This window comes from Homo sapiens, chromosome 11 (assembly GCF_000001405.40).
Source record: "Homo sapiens chromosome 11, GRCh38.p14 Primary Assembly".
In the NCBI taxonomy this organism is placed as follows: Eukaryota; Metazoa; Chordata; class Mammalia; order Primates; family Hominidae; genus Homo; species Homo sapiens.
Window position 1 is genome coordinate 41,325,617 of NC_000011.10, and position 20,221 is coordinate 41,345,837.

At 37.2% G+C, this 20,221-nt stretch overlaps 1 protein-coding gene across 17 annotated transcripts in view; it reads right to left on the reverse strand.

Moving 5' to 3' along the window:
- Window positions 1-20,221, reverse strand: part of LRRC4C (leucine rich repeat containing 4C) — a 1,345,454-nt gene that overhangs the window by 1,211,418 nt on the left and 113,815 nt on the right. The window contains exon 3 of one of the 17 annotated variants that reach the window (XM_047427350.1): window positions 5,323-19,959. The exons of the other annotated variants lie outside the window; for them this stretch is intronic. The gene's annotated coding sequence lies outside the window, so the exon portion shown is untranslated. The remainder of the gene's footprint in view (window positions 1-5,322; window positions 19,960-20,221) is intronic. 17 annotated transcript variants of the gene reach the window in all.

The following is a 20,221-nucleotide window of genomic DNA, read 5'->3' on the forward strand; positions in this document are numbered from 1 at the left end:
AAGACATATTTCGTTACCTCCACTACATTTTCATGCATTTTTAGATCTTCACTGCAAAAACAACAACAACAACAACAACAACAACAAAACAACAACAACAGCAAAAGATTCTGTTAGGAATGTTTAGTCAGAGCTCCAGATACAAAACGCAACTGTATGCCCAATTTTTAGTATATGCATTTTCTCACAAGCAGTTCATGGTTTTACTCAAACTTTTATAATGCTAGACCCTGGTGGCGATGAGAGGGGAGGATGGGAGGAGGAAGAGGAGCAGAAAAGATAACTATTAGGTACTGGGCTTAATACATGGGTGATGAAATAATAGGTACAACAACCCCTGTGACATGTGTTTACTTATGTAACAAACTGTGATGGTTAATATGGAGTGTCAACTTGATTGAATTGAAGGATGCAAAGCATTGTTCTTGGGTGTGTCTGTGAGGGTGTTGCCAAAGGAGATTAACATTTGAGTCAGTGGAATGGGAGAGGCAGACCCACCTCAATCTTGGTGGGCGCCATCTAATCAGCTGCCAGCACAGCTAGAATAAAGCAGGCAGAAGAAGATGAAAAGAGCAGACCTGATTTGCTTTCAGAAAGTCATCCTTCTCCATTGCTGGATACTTCGTGCCCTTGAACATTGGGCTCGAAGTTCTTCAGCATTTGGACTTTTGGACTTACACCAGTGGTTTGCCAGGGGCTCTCAGGCCTTTGGCTACAGACTGAAGGCTGCACTGTCAGCATCCCTAATTTTGAGGTTTTGGGACTCAAACTGTTTTCCTTGCTCCTCAGCTTGCAGACAGCCTATTGTGGGACTTCACCTTATGATCACGTGAGTCAATACTCCTAATTAAACCCCCTTCATATATACATCTATCCTATTAGTCTTGTCCCTCTTGAGAACCCTAATACACAAACCTTCACATGTGGCCCCAAAATGAAGATAAAAGTTAAAAATATAAAAAATTTAAAAATGCTTTGTGATTCACAAAAGTTAAGAATGAGTGATGTAGATCTGATATAGAAGTGTTTTTCCAAACAAAATTGGTTTTCTGCCATGATACACAGCAAGATACAGATTTTGCACTGTGATCCGCTATGTGAATGGGTGCACACACACAAAAGCAGAAGTTTCACAAAACAGTCCTAACATGTTGCAGTGCACTCTGATAAATTTCTATTGTATGTGTTAAGAAAAAGGGCTAACTCTGTCCTGCACAGTTTTGCATCTCAATACCTATAACTCCCGATACTCTATCACAATTAGAAGAAGCCTGGTAGGCAATATAGAAATCTCTTATATATCATGGCATTCCTGACATCATCACATTCTTGTAGATTACACTGTCAATCATAACATGTATCTAGGGCAAGAAACCTATTCCTTACAGTGGCTTTATTGATGAGCCGAGTCCAGTAACTATTTGTGAGCCTCAGAGGCCAAGTGGAGGCTGAGATACAGGAGACTGAGGATTTAATTGGGTCAAACGTGGTATAGCTCATTAAATCCCATTCTCTCTCTTTATATTTTAACATATTCTAGGGAGAAGGCAGCCCACCTTTTTCATGGTCTTGGTATCATAATTATTATTTTTAATTAAGAAAAGTTAAGGCTAATCTCCCTTGAGTTTCCAATTACAATGTAGTTGGTGTGTCGCCGTCTGTCAGAGAGCAGCGTGAGCCTTGGAGGAGCAGCCAGCAGCTTCCTGGTGGGACTGCAGCAGCCCTGAGAACAAATGCTGAAAACACAACTTTCTACCTTCCTTTGATATGTTAGTGTACCAATATGTGATTTATTTTTGTTTTATCCTTTACCATTTGTTTTTCTTTTCATCAATGAATTCAATTTGGCAGAAACCCAAGTGTACAAATAAACTTCCCCAATGTAGGAAACATAGATATTTAATATTAAATCTACTTCTACTACTCCAAATTATTTGCTATGCCTCAGGGCCTGAGCTAAGTGCTTTATGTTTGTGAACACCATCAGGAGGAATGTTAGTGATATGGTTTGGCTGTGTCCCCACCCAAATCTCATCTTGAATTGGAGCTCTCATGATCCCCACGTGTCATGGGAGGGACCCCGTGGGAGGTAATTGAATCATGGGGGCAGGTTTGTCTCGTGCTGTTCTCATGAAAGTGAATAAGTGTCATGAGATCTGATGGTTTTAAAAAGGGCGATTCCCCTGCACACACTCTCTTGCCTGCTGCTATGTAAGACGTATCTTTGCTCCTCCTTTTCACCTTCCACCATGATTGTGAGGGCTCCCCAGCCATGATGAAATGTGAGTCCATTAAACCTCTTTTCCTTTATAAATTACCCAGTCTCAGGTATTTCTTCATAACAGTATGAAAATGGACTAATACAATCAGTATTCATAAAGTCTTATTTTTCATGCTTCACCCTTTGTAGGCACCATGTCCTGGCCTCTCACAGGTAGTTCCCTGTGAATGTCTCTGGGAGGCCCTAGAGAATGTCTCCTGTGTGCACAGAAGCAAATAAATTGCTGCAGGTACCCCTACTACTCTGCCACATTGATATTATCTTTCCTGTGGGCTAACTTCCCCTTTTCTTGTTATCCCTCCAAGTATTACAATCTCTATAGGCATGTGTGGAAGAACACACTGCAAAGGCAGTAAAAATCACTTCAGTCCCTGCTGGAGGAGTGCTCCCCCTCCCAATACTTTCTTTGAGGTGTGTCCAAAAGGAGTGTTCTTTGTGCCTCACTGTCTAAAAAATTAGCAGAATCTTTGTTTTGAGTTTTATTTAGAATCCTGTCTCCCCTAGGTCCTCTCTGAGTGTGTATATGTGTGTGTGTGCGTGTCTGTGTGTGTGTATGTGTACCTAGCGTGGGTTAAGGGCATACTCCAGACAAAGCCACCACACTCCACCCAGGCCAACACTGCTCTGTCAACACGCTCCTTACTGAGTTGCTAATCTTTCTCTTCCCTTTTCTCAGGTAGCTTGAGTTAGTTCTCTTCGTAGGCATGACCCACTGACTCTACTGAACATAGCCATCTGTAGAACTCCCAACACTCTTTCAGATTATAGGGTGTTTTCTAACCACCAGCAAGCCTCCTATTTGAGGTTTTTCACAAGGGACTCTGCAGTCGTGACATAAAGGACATGTCTCTCTCAGATCTGTCTTCTTCCCCAGGTTGTCAAATGTTTCTGAGTACCTCTCAGACTCAAGCCAGGCTCTCATTTCATGGATATTTTCTCATGTAATCTTCTGAATCATCTTGTGGTTTGGACATTTTATCCTCATTTTAAGGTTGGGAAAACTGAGTCCCATAAGTTTCAAGTGACTTATCCAATGAAAATTCACACGTGAGTGTTAAGATGTGAATTGAGGTTTGCCTCCAAGCCCAAATGTGCTTTAAATATAATGCCCCATTTAATAAGACTGAAAAATAGTATGTGTTTCTGGAATAATAAAAGCAAACAAGCACTATTTGCTTTATTTCTTAAATGTCATTGGCCTATTTAACTTCTGGGTGCTTGGGGGAATATTTTCTTCAAGACTCATTGGTAACTCATGATAGAAAAGAATATGCTAACTTTCTAAATTATATTTGCTGTTTTCCCTAACTGGCTCTGTGACTCTGCCCCTTCCCTTAACAGCTGTACTTCTTGGCATTCTATTCATACTCCAAAGAATCTCAAATCTATATCCTCTGCTAAGATCTCCCTCCTGAGCTCAAGACCAAAATTTCTAGCTACCTAATAGGCATATCCATGTGGAGACACAGATGTGCATCAAATTTAATATGTTGAGGACTGTGCTTACTATCTCTTCTTTTTGCAATATGTTGCGTCCCATAGTACCAGATTTGATTAATGTCACCAGTCACTTAACTACAAAATGTAACCATGATCCAAACATCTCTAATCCTTCTTTTCCCTCAGCTTTCACTTCCAATCAGTCTCCACATTGTGGTGTTTTTCAAATATGTCTCCCTTTCTTTATATTCATGATTACTGCCTTAGTTTCAGTCTCTGATTCCTTACTCCTTGCGATTTCTTTTCCAAATTGGCATTTATAATAAAGCAAATCTAGTTACACCCATTCTCTCATTATGTCCACTTAAAGTTCTCAAAGGGTGCAATCCTACCCATTAATGTGAGTTTTGGAAATGTGGAGCTTTTTTGTTGTCATAGTGATGGCAGACTCTACTGACATTTAATGGGCAGGGCTGATAGAAGTTTCACAGTGCGTGGACAATTCCACATGAGGAGGAATTGTGCCAATGGTGCAGGACTCTAGAAAACCCACTGAACACTGAGCACGTGGAAAGCAGACATATCATTATCTAACACTGGACCTTCATTCTATTTTACATGAAAACATCAAATTGCACCCTGTACCTGAATTTTCCAGAAGGTTAATACCTGAGAGAAATAGAGAAAATCAAACTTTGTTGGTTTGGAACTTGGCCAAGAAGGGTTCACCATTTAGGCAAATTGTATCCATGCAATCATGCAGGCAGTACTGATGGAGTCACCAATGCAACACATCTGTATCAGTATGCATTTGCAACTGTTACATTCATGAGTCTGGGTAGAGGGAAGAGCTTCTTACTATTTACTTCCTTATTGTAACTGTGCAGGAGGATTTATATATTGAAATACATATCTTTTTTGTTACAAATTACCATCCCTCATTTGAATTCTCATTACTGTTGTGAGCACTATTTTGTTTTTTTCTTTTTTGTTTTGTTTTGTTTTAATTATCTGTGTCAATAGATTATATTATCAATGAGTCTAAATTGAAAACATTAAGGAAAGTGTTACAATTTTTCTTTAATTTAAATTGTTGAGTGGCTAGGGTTTAAAACTATTTACCCAATGTTGAATCTAATGTATCATGACATTAGATGCCGTCAACATGTGGTCCTCATTTACCTCCTTCACCCCTTCATATGAACACCCTGAATGTCTGCTCAGATGCAGATTGTTTTTTCTTCTTCCTTTGAGACAGGGTCTCCCAGTCTGTCGCCCAGACTGGAGTGTAGTGGTGCAATCTTGCTCACTGCAGCCTCGGCCACCTGGGCTCAAGCCATCCTCCCACCTCAGCCTCAGCCTTCCAAGTAACTGGAACTACAGTGTAGTTTTAATAAGATTTTTAGTATATATGCATACGTTTTATAAGATTATAAATACATATTAATATATACTTTTAATAAGATTATAAGTATATATGTACACTAGTCCCCAATCTTATCTTACAAGTATATATATACATTAGTCTCCAAACTTATTAAAACCCTCTGAAAGACAATAAATTTATATGTATATGTGTCTTATATGTCTTATATGCTTACTGTTCTCTTTGGCCTATGGCTCCGTCTGGTATTTGGCTGTTCCACATTCATTTTTCTTCCTAATGACAGCATGATTCCTCCTTGGATAAAATCTACTGGGATTATAGTAGGGAGCCTGGTACTTCCTTAGCTGAATAAGCAGAGGGTCCAACATAGTTCTACTGAAAATCTCTATCTTGAAGTCCTGAGCTGAAGAAAAAATAAACAAACACAAATCCAAAAATAATTACAGTTCATGCAATTCTCCCTCAGGCTCTGAACAAAATATGTCCATTATGAGATCCTTCTTTCCTTGAGTTATTCCTTCCTAGTCCTTCAGCATTGTCTTGCTTTTTACTCACTTTAAGCTTGTTCTTCAACTTTCTGCTGCTTCTGAGCACTTATATCCTTCCTAAAATTTTAATTAGTATCTACTCAGAAGTTATTGATTAAAGAAACCACACTTGGCATCTGCCACCGACAAAGAAACCTAACCAATACATGTAGATTTCATAGTTTTTAATGCATGCATGAAAGGATAAATGGAAAATCACGCCAAGTATTATTTTATTAAATGTGAGTATCCTGAAGCTCACTGAGAATAACTTGCCGCCTCCCTTCACTCACTCTGCTCCCAGCACAGTAGACATCTTGCTGTTTCTTAATACACCAATTTTATATCCAACTCAAGGCACTTGCTTTAGGTGTTTCCTCTGCCTGACAATCTTTTCACTTGGATCTTCTCATACTTTTATTCACTTCCATGGCTACAACATACAGTTGTGGGGTTTAGGCACTACACAAAGGCACTTGACAGTGAAGTCAAACGCAGGATGAAATACAGCCTAAATATTGGGCACTGACAAACGAACCCCAGGGTAGATCTACAACACAAAAAAGAAGGGACATCTTTGCTAACACACTTAAATGTACCACACGTGCTGATGGAACTATTAACTTTTGTTTGTTATCTTCTCAACATACTTCCAAAGACAGACCTTGCCTGACAGCCACTCTATCTAAAATTGCCTGCACTCCCATGATAACCCCTTATTTTTATTATTGTTCAAAGTACATATTACTTCTTAACCTTATATGTATTTGTTTGTTGTTTACTATGTAAAATGTAAAATCCATTCAATGAGAGACATTCTCCATCTTGTTCACTGCCATAACCCCGGGACTTAGAACAGTACCTTTCACAGAGTCGAAGCTTAGTAAATATTTATTGAATTGTATGTGTCATGTGGAATGAGGCATTTAGGATTAGAGCCCAAGTTACTAGATACCCAATTTGCCTCATTAAGCTTGATGAATAATTTCAGCAGTAATTAACAAACATATACAATTTTATAACAAGCACAAACTAGAGTTCATGTCAATTGTGTAAGCATGATACATTTAAATAATATAATACTTTAGGGTTTTTTTAAAAATAACTTTCTTCATAAGTGCCCAGCTACCACCACAAGCAAAGCAAAATCTGCAATGTGCAAGGTTTCCTAATGAAGCTCTAGGTAAGCATGCCTTTGCCACTCCAACTCTCTGAAGTTGTATATCAGGGGACCAAACCAACATATTGTGCCAGAAAGGAAACTCCTAAGAGCTTCAGCACTCGATACCGTTTGGAATGTTCAGACTAAAATACACTAAACTCTTTTCTTGCTTATGACATATTCCAACACACACACAAAAAGACTGTAGTAAAAAGTCTATTAATAATTATATTTCATAAGTTGTTTTATCCCATGAAGATGTTTTATCCTTCTTTTCAACAATGGTATCTTTCACTTGTGCGAACTTTTCTAATGTCTGATGGTTTGAACTTCGGTTCAGCATTCTATTAGCAACTTGGGGTTTGCCTCATTCTTGCATCTTTAGCAATTAACCTCAACACATTTTGGCAATTAGCAAATTTTGATTCTTCTAGTATATAAGGCATACTACATGAATAAAAAGTCCATCTCTGCTCAAAGTAGTGACTCAGAATAACTTCTTCCTATAAGCCTAGGTCTTGGGCTGAAACTATCTTTGAAATCAACAAAGCAACAGCTTCTCTTGTAAAAGTTTCTGAATTCAAGAGAAAAAAGAAGACAAAATTATGTTCATTTAAAAAAACAATGCAGATGTCTTATTCTGTTTTTGAAGGGGAAACACTTGAAAGAAGAAAACTATTACTAAGAATTGCAAATTAAGGTATTTTATACAGAAAAAGCCAAGCTAAGCAAATGAGGATGTTTCTTTGTATTAAAAGAAAAATATTTTCTCTAAATGCTTTGTAATTGAAGAATCAAGGCATAATGTCTATTATTTTGTAATGCATCAGTCAAAATAAATTTCAAAGTAGAACACTTAGCTAAGAGGTCTTGATCTTTTTCTCCCTTAATCATACTGCATACTCAGTTTTATATTATTTTATTCTAGAATGAACTAGAATATCAGTGAAATCATTAAAAGATCAATAATAAGGCTTTCAAAATAACATGTACAGTTAGCTTTACATATTTGCGTATTTTAGGAATTATTCATCAGATAAATTCCATCTGGCTCAAGTTTCAAGACCAGACATTCATTTATGTAATTTATGCAGGGATATGTGACCAGCAATAATAGACATTCAAACTAAAATTCAAGAGTATGGAATTATTCAAAAGCCCTCCTCCCTTTAAATATGTAGGTACTTGCTGACTGCCCTTAACAGCTTTACCTTGTCTATTAGTGGCATTAAAGCAAGTGAGCTAAATGGCCTTTTATTCAGTGATATTTTTGCAGGTGAATTAATGCTACTTTTCTCAGCATGGGTAGTAAAATCTGGCTATTTTACATGTTTTATTTTGCAGCCTGAAAATTTATTTTTACACATCATCATTAATCTGCTTTTCTTTGGTTGGTAGCATGCAGTTGGTTGCAAATGCTAATTAGAAATATTAATCTTATGTGTCAATCTATAACAATAAGCAAGCAGAGAAACATTTGTTTAAAAAGTTCATTATTATTATTTGAGTTCTCCCCCAACCCCTACTTCTGTATTTCAACTATAATTATCTCAGAGGGTTGTTTTCTAGAAAATTTCACATCTGGCTATCTCTCCAAACCTCATAAAAATGTTACTCCCTCTGGCTTATTTAGCCAATCATGAGGTGTAAGGACACACAGCCTAGATGTGCAGCTAGAAGGTTATCGTAAGAGGCGTGGAATAGGAACCAGAGAGAAGCCTCTAGAAAACTTGAGCACTTCTCCAAACTCTAAGTACTGTTTTTGCTCATTTCATAGCATAGTATATATAGTTCTGTGTTACAAAACTTGCAGTTGGCTGGCTTTGCAGAAAGGTTTGTACCTCTTTGAACTCGTCAGTTCAAGAAGATTTCCTAATACCTTTTTGGCAACCAGCAGCCTTTACCTGTGTTTTCTATTCCAGTCAGTGTTTTTTCATTCCCACACTTGTTTCAGGTTTAAAACTGAAGCTATTTTAGGTTTTTCCTTCTCCTTTACTCTCTATTTTCAAACGCTGGGCACATCCTTTAAAATTGATGACTAACTGATTAAGTACTTGATTTTCTAGCACCTGGCAGGTGTTAGATGTCTGGTACTTATTGGGGGCAATTATAACACTAAGATTTTCCTTCTTCAAGAGGCCAGGCATGGTGGCTCATGCTTGTCATTCAGGCACTTTGAGAGGCTGAAGTCAGGGATCACTTGAGGCCAGGAATTTGAAAACAGTCCGGGTAAAAAGTGAGACCCTCTCTCTGCAAATATTAAAATAAATAATTTTTTTAAAAAAACAATAGTCGGGTGTGATGGTGCATTCCTGCAGTCCCAGGTACTCCAGAGACTGAGGTGGCAGGGTTGCTTGAGCCCAGGAGTTTGAAGGTGCAGTGAGCTATGCACTCATTCCACTGCACTGCAGCCTGGGTGACAGAGAAAGACCATGTCTCCAAAGAACGAAACAAACAAACAAACAAACAAACAAACAAACAAAAAACCACATACACACAAGAGTTTCTTTCCTGTCAGAGGATCTTACTCAGTGACTCCCCACTTAAATGCAAATTTTTCAATCTAATTCTCAGGCCATCAGTTTTCAGTCTGGTCCCAATCTAGTCTGTCTTCAATACTATACTCCACCACCTGGTAACACCTCCAAACACCTAACATCCAGTTATACCAATCTATTCAAAATCTTCAAATGCAGCCACACCAAGTGAGTATCTCTGTTTATTTTTGCCCCATCACTTATTGATAACTGATTCCAAACATGTTTATTAGGACCTAATACATATTAAGCATAGTGCTTGGAATATAAAGATAAGTCAGACATGGTCTCTGTCCTTAGAAATTCCATTTCATTGGTAAAAGCAGACCAGTAAACTAAAAATATTAGAGTAGTAAATGTGTGGAGGGTATATGAATAGAGTTTAAGGGAAAGAATTTCAACTTTCATTCCTTCCTACCAAAATGTTACCCACCATTCACATCCAGATTGAAAGCTTATGACTCCATGAAACTGTAAGATGTCAAAAATACTACCTGTCCATCTTTATTCTCTGCTTACTGAGCTTTAATTTTTTTGTAACATTAACCATTGCCTGAAATTGTTTAATGCATTTTTTATTGTGTGCTTCTTCCATAGAGGGTAGAATTTCTAAGGGCAGAAATTCTATATTTACATGTTTATTCATTCCTGTTTTCAATGAGTACTTACTAATTGCCTATCATATATTTCTCACGTTATGTCCAGCACCTGCACCAATAATAGATCTTGACTCATAATAGGTCTGCAGTAAATGTTTGTATAGCAAATGAATGAATATATAAGTAAATGAAACTTCCCAGATGCATTACAATCTCCCTCTCCTCCGTTCTCCCATTGATCTTTGTTTCTCTTCTCCAAGCTTCTTTTTGGTATTGTATTTTATTTAAATTTGCACAAGTATGTCACACCACTAAATTATCAGCCCTAGAGGAAAGGGAGCATGGCATCCATATTTGTATTCCCACACAGTGTCTAGCTAATTGTAGACACTTTAACGATTGAAATGAATGGCCAGGCATGGGAAACAGAAATTTAGACCCATTTATTTATGGAGCAAAGGTAGTCTATTTCTTATATTTGAGTGTCTGTATTTTCCTATCTGGCATCCCTCAGGCTTTGCCACTGAGCCCTTTGTGCCTTGTGCAAACATGACTATACAAATTAGTTTAGATGAAGTCTTTCCTGAAGCAAATCCAACACATAAAACTCAGAATTCATTGAAGAGAGAAAATTTAATGAGTTTTTAAAAGATTTACCCTAAAAGATGATTCACTATGAATTATAGACTTTCCTTTTTTTTTAAAAAAAAAAGTAAGGTCTTCCTGTACTATAATCAAAGTAAGTATTAATCTACAACAATGAAAAGGTTAGAATTTTTACACAGATTTTAAGAACACATAATTGTTTAAAAAAAAGTGTATATGCAAACCCTTCTCCTTCAATCTCAGTCTCCTCAAGAATCTTCAGTGGGAAAAAAAAATAAAAGGTGGGGAAAAAAAAAAATATCGGGGGCCATAAACTACCACCAAAATGTCAAGTATAGTAGAAAGAAGCAAACTAGTTTTACCAATGAATTTACAAGTAAGTGTGGATGTTTTGCATTGTTTGGGGATTTCTGCACTGGTCCTCTATCCACTTTTCATTCACCCTTCCTACTGTGTAGCTATCAGAAGACTGAACAAAGAGGCTTTTAATAGTGAAGGAAATGTGAAAGTCCTCTTCATTTAAGGGAAGTGAAATTAAAGTCCCCAGCTTCATGTCTTCCCTCCTTTTGGCCTTGCCATGGCTGGTCCTGATCTTCAGAGGTATAGGACAAGCAAGAAGGTGCTGGCACCAACCCCAAATGAGAGAGGTTACTAGCATTTACTCAACATGACTTTTATGTTGGGATCCATGCTAGTCCTTGCATGGACACCATCTCATTTAATCCTTAAAATAGTTTAATGCAATAAACACATCAGACACAGAGAAACAGAGGCATGGAATGAACAAAGGAAACTAAGACATAAAAAGGAGAAAAAAATGACTATTCATAGCAGCAGAAGAGGAATGTACACTACCAGAAACAAGCCTCATAAAAAATTAACATTAAATTCTTTTTCTTTTTTTTTTGAAATAGGGTCTTGCTTTGTCACCCAAGCTAGAGTTCAGCAGCATGATCACCACTCACTGAAGCCTCCAACTCCTGGGCTCAAGCATTGCTTCTGACTCAGCCTTCCAAGTAGCTGGCACCACAGGTATGTGCTACCATGCCCAGCGAACTAAAAACAAAAAATTAAGAGATAGGATCTTGCTATGTTGTCCAGGCTGGTCTTGAACTCCTGGCCTCAAGGAATACTCCTGCCCTGACCTCTCATAGTGTTGAGATTACAGGTGTAAGCCACTGCACCTGGAAAAAATTAAATCTTAAAGACAAACAAAACTTAACTGATTAGCATCTAAATGCTTGGCATTCTTCAGCAAACCTGACAAAAACAAGCAATGTAGAAAGGATTCTCTTTTTAATAAATGGTGCTGGGAAAACTGGCTATCCATATGCAGAAAACTGAAATTGGACCCCTCCCTTACACCTTATAAAAATTAACTCAAGATGGATTAAAAACTTAAATGTAAAACCCCAAATCATAAAAACCTTAGAAGAAAACCTAGGCAATACCATTCAGGACATAGGCATGGGCAAGGGTTTCATTATGAAAAGGCCAAAAGCAATTGTAACAGAAGCTAAAATTAAAAAATGAGATCTGATTAAACTAAAGAGCTTCTGCACAGAAAGAGAAACTATCATCAGAGTGAACCAGCAACCTACAGAATGGGAGAAAATTTTACAATTTATCCATCTGACAAAGGTCTAATATTCAGAATTTAGAAGGAACTTAAACAAATGCACAAGAAAAAAACAAACAACCCCATCAAAAAATGGGCAAAGTATATGAACAGACACTTCTCAAAAGAAGACATTTATGCAGCCAACAAACATGAAAAAAAGCTCAACATGACTGATCATTAGAGAAATGCAAATCAAAACCACAATGAGATACCATCCCATCCCAATCACAATGGCGATTATTAAAACATGAAGAAACAACAGATGCTGTTGAGGCTGTGGAGAAATGGGAAAGCTTTTACACTGTTGGTAGGTTAAATGGTTAAATTAATTCAACCATTGTGGAGACAGTGTGTTGATTCCTCTAGGAGCTAGAACCAGAAATACAATTTGACCCAGCAAGAAATCCCATTACTGGGTATATACCCAGAGGAATACAAATCATTCTACTATAAAGATACATGCACACATATGTTTATCGCAGCACTATTTACAATAGTAAAGACATGGAACCAACCCACATGCCTATCAATGACAGGCTGGATAAAGAAAATGTGGTACATATACACCACAGAATAGAATGTAGCCATAAAGAGAAATGAGATCATGTCCCTTGCAGGGACATGGATGAAGCTGGAAGCCATCATCCTCAGAAAATTAACACAGGAACAGAAAATCAAACCCCTCATGTTCTCCCTCAGATGTGGGAGCTGAACAGTGAGAACACATGGACACAGGGAGGGAAATAACACACACTGGGGCCTGTCGGGAGGTGGTGAGGAGGGAGAGCATCAGGACAAATAGCTAACACATATGGTGCTTAAAATCTAGATGACGGGTTGATAGATGGAGCAAACCACCATGGCGCATGTATGCCTATGTAACACGCCTGCATGTTCTGTACACGTATCTCTGACCTTAAAGTAAAATAAAAATAAAAATTAAAATTAAAAAATAAATGCTTGGCATTGTATTGAGCATTTCAAATACAAAATAGAAAAAGCAAACAAGCAATTTGTTTGTAGTAAGATGGATGAAAATCTGAGTTCCTACTCTCTAAAAAAAAATCTAATGACCTCCGGCACATTGTTTAACAACAGATTCCATAGATTCAGATTTTTTTCTGTAATATTGACATGGAAATGTCCCCTCCAGAGCTTGCTACTAGAATAAAATAAAATAAAATGAAATACGAATAATACAACTAAAAGAGTAACACATAGAAAATGCTGAACAAATTGGGCTGTTAGGAAGCTTCTGGTAGATTATTATGTTTGAAAGATGCATCATGGTTCTAAATGACAAAGGCATCTATTTATTTTATAGAAATACTAGATTCACAATGCTATCAAACATAGGGAAAGTATAGAAACTACTTCATTGGTCTTCACTTTATGATATTGCTAGATGCTACAGAGGTAAAATATTAGAGGCACAATGAAGATGATAACTTAAACTTTCATATATCTTTACTTTTACCAAGATTCTACCTAAATAAATAGCCCTGCCCTTGAATAAGTCATTAGATTGGAAGAATTCACAAGGAATCACAGATTATTATTTAATGAATTCCTTTGCTTTTGGATAGGCACTGTATATATCAACTATATCCCTGAAGACATAACTTTCATGTAACTCTTAGTAAGCTTTGTCTATGACTAAACCAGCAATAGGCCAAATGAAATGCAAAGGTCATTTGCAGATTTTCACACCAATACAACAGAAACTTTTAGAAGCTAGAAACTAGCAGGAAAAAAAACATCCCTCTCCTGTCTAATAGGAGTCATTTCTTCAGCACCCTCTGCCCAGTTTAATTTCCATGGGAACAGGGGGTGAGACGGAGATCTTAAAATGCTACCATGACTCAAACGCATTTAAAAAAATTACATCCAATTTATTTTTTAAGCAATACATGTTCCTAACAGTTTGAGCTAATCAAATATATTTTGCACTTGGAGTAATGGTTATATAGGCTATTTTACCAGAATATGTTCATCTCTCTTCCCTACAGAAATCTTGAGTACAAAATCTATGCCTCAGAATTTTTACAGATAACATCAGAAGATATCCAAAAATCAAGAGTATTTCCTATTTATTGAGTCATATTTCAACAAAGTTACCTGCTAGTCTCCAGCCTCAGTGAAGGTCAAACAAATGGGTTTTAACTCAGAAAAAGGCAAAATCCTGAGGGAAGACTAAATATATGTGAAGGGCTCCAGAACTTTATGAAATATTTCCTAAATATTTGTTAATAAAAGAAAAAGTTTAGAAGAGGAAGGTAATTATTGTAGTCAGTGTTTTGTATGGGCTACATTATCTTTTTTAATTCTCGTATTAATCCTATGAAGTAAGTTTCGCTCATCTTTTTTACAGAATGAGAACACAGAGGACGAAAGAATTGACTGGCTTTCCCAACCCTATAAAAATAATTTATTAGAGGCAAAGCAGAGATTTTGATTTTTGTGTGGTTTTTCTTTTAAAAAATTCTACATAAAGAAATAGGATTGCTCATTATTAAATCTTGAGATTAGAAGAATTAACAAGCTAAATCTTATGTATTTCAATTTTCCTTTTTGTAGCATTTTGCAAAACTTGGACTAAATTTTCATGAGAGTATATGGGGCATAAGGCACCCTGAATCTCCAGGACTTTAATCACAAATAAAGTCTTAATCGGAAGTTAAATTTGGGATCTAGTTTCAACTCTGCATTACTCTTGGTTAGGGAACCTTATGTGTAGCCCTCTTGGTTAAACTAATAGATTAGTAAAAGAGGAGACTAATTTAGATGAGGAAGTGGTGGGCTATAGCATTTATGTGTTTGGGGCCCTTATCCAAAGAAACTCAGAGACCTAGGATCATATCTTCCTCTGCCAGTTATTGGTAATGGAGCCTAAGAAAAGTTACTTAGAGTCTATTTGTCTCAGTTTTCTCCTTTAGAAAATAAAGATGGCAATAAAGATGGAGCTTATAGCATTGTTGTGGAGATTAAATGAGAAAATTTAAGTGTTATAAGGAGAGTACTTCACACATGGTGTGCACTTACTAAATACTAGCCAATATTATTAGATAGATTTGATTCTAAAACCTATTTCAATTCTGGGATTTTTGCAAGTCGAAACTGTGCAATTCATTGTGGTTGAGGATTCCAGAAGAAAGGCAATCTAGTAACTTTGAGGCTGTGATTGCGTCTGCCTCTCAATTAACCTCCCTGTTTTCAGTGGATGTCTTGGGAGGAGTGCTTGCACGAAGAAGAAATAAATGGGAAGGTAGAGAGAGAAAAGGTTAGCAAACAAAGTAAAAGAAGCAGCTTTACCTATATGTGAAAGTGATGATGTTGTCCTGTAACAAGGACTGAAGGCAATCTAGGTATGAAAGTAATAGTGTGTTAGGTGAGGATGTTACTTAAGAAAACAAGTACCAGAGAAAAAGACTGATAGCTCTCTTTAGTGAACTTAGAATGACCTAGTTCTTTGAGAGAAAATTTAAAATATACTGTAAGTGTTTTCGATTAAAAAAACTAAAAAATAGATCATCAGAGACTCATCTGAGAGAAGAAGAATAAAATGACTTCTTTCCTTATCATCATTCTCTGGGCGAGGTTCTGCCGGTTGCATATTGTCTCAGCACCTGAGTATTGCCCTTCATACTTCACCAATTGTAGTAATTTAATGACTGTTTTCTACATTTTTTTCCAGAATAATGTAAATTCCTTCAAGATAAGAACCATGCCTGCTTTTCCCCCCATTAGTTGGAATCAATGGAGTTTTCATTTACTAACCACTTTCCCTAAAAGTGTGTCATGTTAAAAATAGCATCAGTTCTCAGTTATCTACCTTATGAAGAAGCTCACAGGCAGAATCAACAAAAGACCATGTAAATAAAGTTTCTGCTCATCTTTCCAAGCATGAGGCTAAAGAATGCAAGCCCCAATTATAATAGCATTTCAGTGAAAAAATACAATTTACTTTACAGAAATCCACTTTGCAACATAGTTTCAGGTAAACCATGCCCGAAGTGAAGATTCTGGCCATAATCTCTATCTTCTCAGCAGAGATATTTTCCTACTAGTAAATAAATATAGCTCTGTTGTCTTTGGCTTTGACCAGGTAACTCACGTTTTGATTAGAAACTTACCATAATAAAAGGCATTGATAATCTGGTTATTGATAGTTAAGAATTGACTGTATGTTATCTATAATATCTGGGACATAGAGAGTCATCTTGACCTAACTTTTCATGAACCTCACCCCTGGTTTCTCAAAGTCACATTCCAAAAACATTTTTGAATAGGTGAGGCATTGAAGCCTTGTATCTTCTTAAAACAACACAGTTACTATTAATATTAACACAGTTACCTCCACTATTACTGACCATTGGCTCCATGAGTGACAACACTGCCTAAAATATTAACAGTTATTACACAACTATACACTCTGCTGTTGTTTTCCTAGACTATCTTAGTTCAGACAGGTCTATTATGCTATTAGGTCATTAATCATGTGGTGGCACCACATATACAGAATTCAGTATTGAAAGGTGGTATCCCTAGCAATATTTTAGTTTTGGTTTTCTGCTCTCCACATAGAGGCTTTCTAACCTCTTCCTGGAATTATTTAGAAATGACCCTCAACTAAAGTTAAATCAAAAACTCATTTACATCTGGGCACGGTGGCTCTCACCCATAATCATAGCATTTTGGGAGGCTGAGGGGGGTGGACCACTTGAGGTCAGGGGTTTGAGACCAGCCTGATCAACATGGCAAAACCCCGTGTCTACTAAAAATACAAACATTAGCCGGGTGTGGTGGTGTGCGCCTGTAATTCCAGATACTCAGGAGGCTTAGGTAGGAGAATCCTTTGAACCCTGGAGGCAGAGGTTTCAGTGAGCCGAGATTGTGCCACTGAACTCCAGCCTGGGCAACAGAGCGAGACTCCATCTCAAAAACAAACAAATATACAAACAAACAAAAAACTCACTTACAGTGTATTTTGTCATAAACAAGCCTCACCCCATTTGGGTTAGTTTCCAAGGGCTGCTGTAAAAAAGTACCACAGAGTTGGTGACTTAAAATAACAGTAACGTATTCTCTCAAAGTTCTGGAGGCCAGAAGTTCAAATCAAAGTGCTGGGAGGATTACACTAACTTTCAAGTCTCTATATGAGGACTTTTCCTTGCCTCTGCAAATTTCTGGTGGTGACAACCTTTCCTTGTGTTAACATAACTCCAGTCTCTACCTTTGTCTTCAAATTGCCCTTTTCTCTATGTATTTCTCTTGTTCTCTCACTTCTCACTGGATTTAGGGCCCACCCAGTTAATCCAAGATGATCTCATCACAAGATTTTTCACTTACTTATATCTGTATAAAACCTTTTTCTAAGATGGTCACATTCATAGATCCCAGGAGTTAGGAAGTTGGACATATCTTTTTGGGGACCACAATTCAACCCACAGTACCAATGATGAACCAAATGTAGATGCATATTTGCCTAACATCTGCAAACATCTCTGCATCAAGTTACCTGATAACAGTGAAGTGAGTGGTGATTCAACTGATTCTTATTGGAAGGGAAGAGCAAGGGATGATTAAAGAGAAAACAAAACAAAACAAAACAAAACAGTAGCCACTGAAAAATGTCCTTCCTTACCAAAATTTACTGTTCGAATATTTTCCGGGCCATGTATGCATGCTGAAATGATGAGTTTTAAGTGAAATTCGATTATCTTTGGATATAATTCCAATATACTTAAAGCAATGAAGACCTTGGCTTCTTATAGATAGGTTAATCAGGAAATGAAGAAAGAGTCTTCCAACAAATATGCTTAGTCTTGTGTTTTAAAAGATATGCTGGTCCAACCCAGTAGGAAAAATGAAACCTTCCAAGGAGAATATTTACAGTGCAGCTTGAATACAGTTTTATTCCACTTACTAATGCACATTAATAAAATCACATATTTATTTTTCATGTATTGTAATGAATTTTGGTGTTTTTATGATATGGAATGTTTTTCCAGGAAAGAAGTCCCTATTTATAACAAAGTATTTAAGAAATAAGTCAATTGTTATCCCAAAACCAATTAGATAATAAATTTTGAGGTACTTATGCTTCTCTCTAATTAGCATATCATATTTACTTTGAATCTTATTAAAACAAAATGTAAAACTTTCCGCTAATCAGAGCACATAACTTCTTAAATTTTTAGCACATTTAATAGTCATTCTGCTGCTTCCAGAGCCTTCCATTATCTGAGCAAACAAAATGTTCTCCTCTGATGTGCAACAAATGCCTTTGATTCGTTTTGATGATTGTGTCGTTCACTTGCACACCAAGCCCTAGATCAGAAGTGTTTCCTCTGCCTTGAGAGAACATCCCCATTCCCCATGTCTTCCGCTTCCAGAGCCCAGTGATTTTCCCAATACCAATTCACTCTTTGCTCCTCTGTGAAGCCTTTCTTTTTTTTTTTTTTTTTTGCGATGGAGTCTTGCTCTGTCACCCAGGCTGGAGTGCAGTGGTGCAGTCTCTGCTCGCTGCAACCTCCCGGGTTCATGCCATTCTCCTGCTTCAGCCTCCCGAGTAGCTGGGAGTACAGGCGCCCGCCACCACGCCTGGCTAATTTTTTGTATTTTTAGTAGAGACGGTGTTTCACCGTGTTAGCCAGGATGGTCTCGATCTCCTGACCTCGTGATCCGCCCGCCTCGGCCTCCCAAAGTGCTGGGATTACAGGCGTGAGCCACCGCGCCCGGCCAAAGCCTTTCTATCTTAACTCATCAATGTGTTTCCATTATTTTCCATTTTTATAGTGCCTGTGGTTGGTTTTGACTAAAACAAAACAAACAATAACAAGCATATTGTTCATCTGCTTTATGCAAGGGATAGCCCATAGCACACACATGGACAAGATTATTTAAGATTTTGTCTTCTCAGCTAGATTGAATGCTCCTGAGAAGCTAGAAGCATATCTTAAATTTCTATGTTTTCACATTGAACAGCACTGAATAAAAATGGTTCAATAAATACTGGCTATTTAATCCAAAATGGGTAAGTGGTTAATTGAACACGTTCAATTGAAAATTAAATTGTATGTTTGGAAACCAAGAGCAAGTGGAGGGGAGGAATATTTTAGACACAATTAACTGCTGCCTCTGATAGTCGTTGCATTGGAAGTTTTGCAGCAACTTAAACTAAGAATCATTATTAACTGTTTTTTTTTCCCCTGTTTCCTGGGGAACTATTGACTATTAACCCATGATGGTTTGTGTATTCCTCTCAACCCAGAAATATAATTTTTCTTAAACAAAGCAGAGGCCACTGGACAATAGTTATGATGAAAATTCTGGTGAAATAAGCTATGTTTTCATGAAAAGATGGCTGATTTGACAGTTGTACTTGGTTTTACCTCTTTCTCTTTTTAACTAAATTTTGGAGAGCCAAGTAGGAAATTTGACGGTCCTATTAATTACTATATCCCTACACTTGAAGACAATTTATGACACACACTCATCTCTGACTCAGAGAGGGAAAAATGGAAGAAGATTGGTAGCAGAGGTGAAGGTTAATTATCTTTGTCGATATGTATTCTGTACTGTATTTTAAAAAATAAAACAAAATGTATTCCGCCATGGTCTTTAGGATGCTAATTGATAAATGAATATTCAAAGGTTAACAAAATAGAAATCTTACCATTATGGTGATCATAGTTTGTAGGATCCAGTCTAAACTGCCAGTATTATTAGGCTGGGCTACAACAACTGCCTCTAATTTGTTTCCTGGTTTTCTCTTTTGATTTCCCATAGCCTATTATCTATAAAGAAGTTAGAAATATTTTTTAAGAATCAAAATAGGTAAAATCATTTGACCCTTTAAACCAACCAATGGTCTTGCCATTTGCAGTGGTTCTTCATTCTAAAGTAGGTATCATGACCTAGGAGTTCCCATCGGATCCAGCCCCTACAGATTTCTCTCACCTCCTTCAGAGTCTCCGCACTAGATACGATAGAAGCAGAGTCACAGAGAAGTTTGCACTCCAGGTAAAAAGACTGAAAAAAAGCTAGCTTCCTGATGAA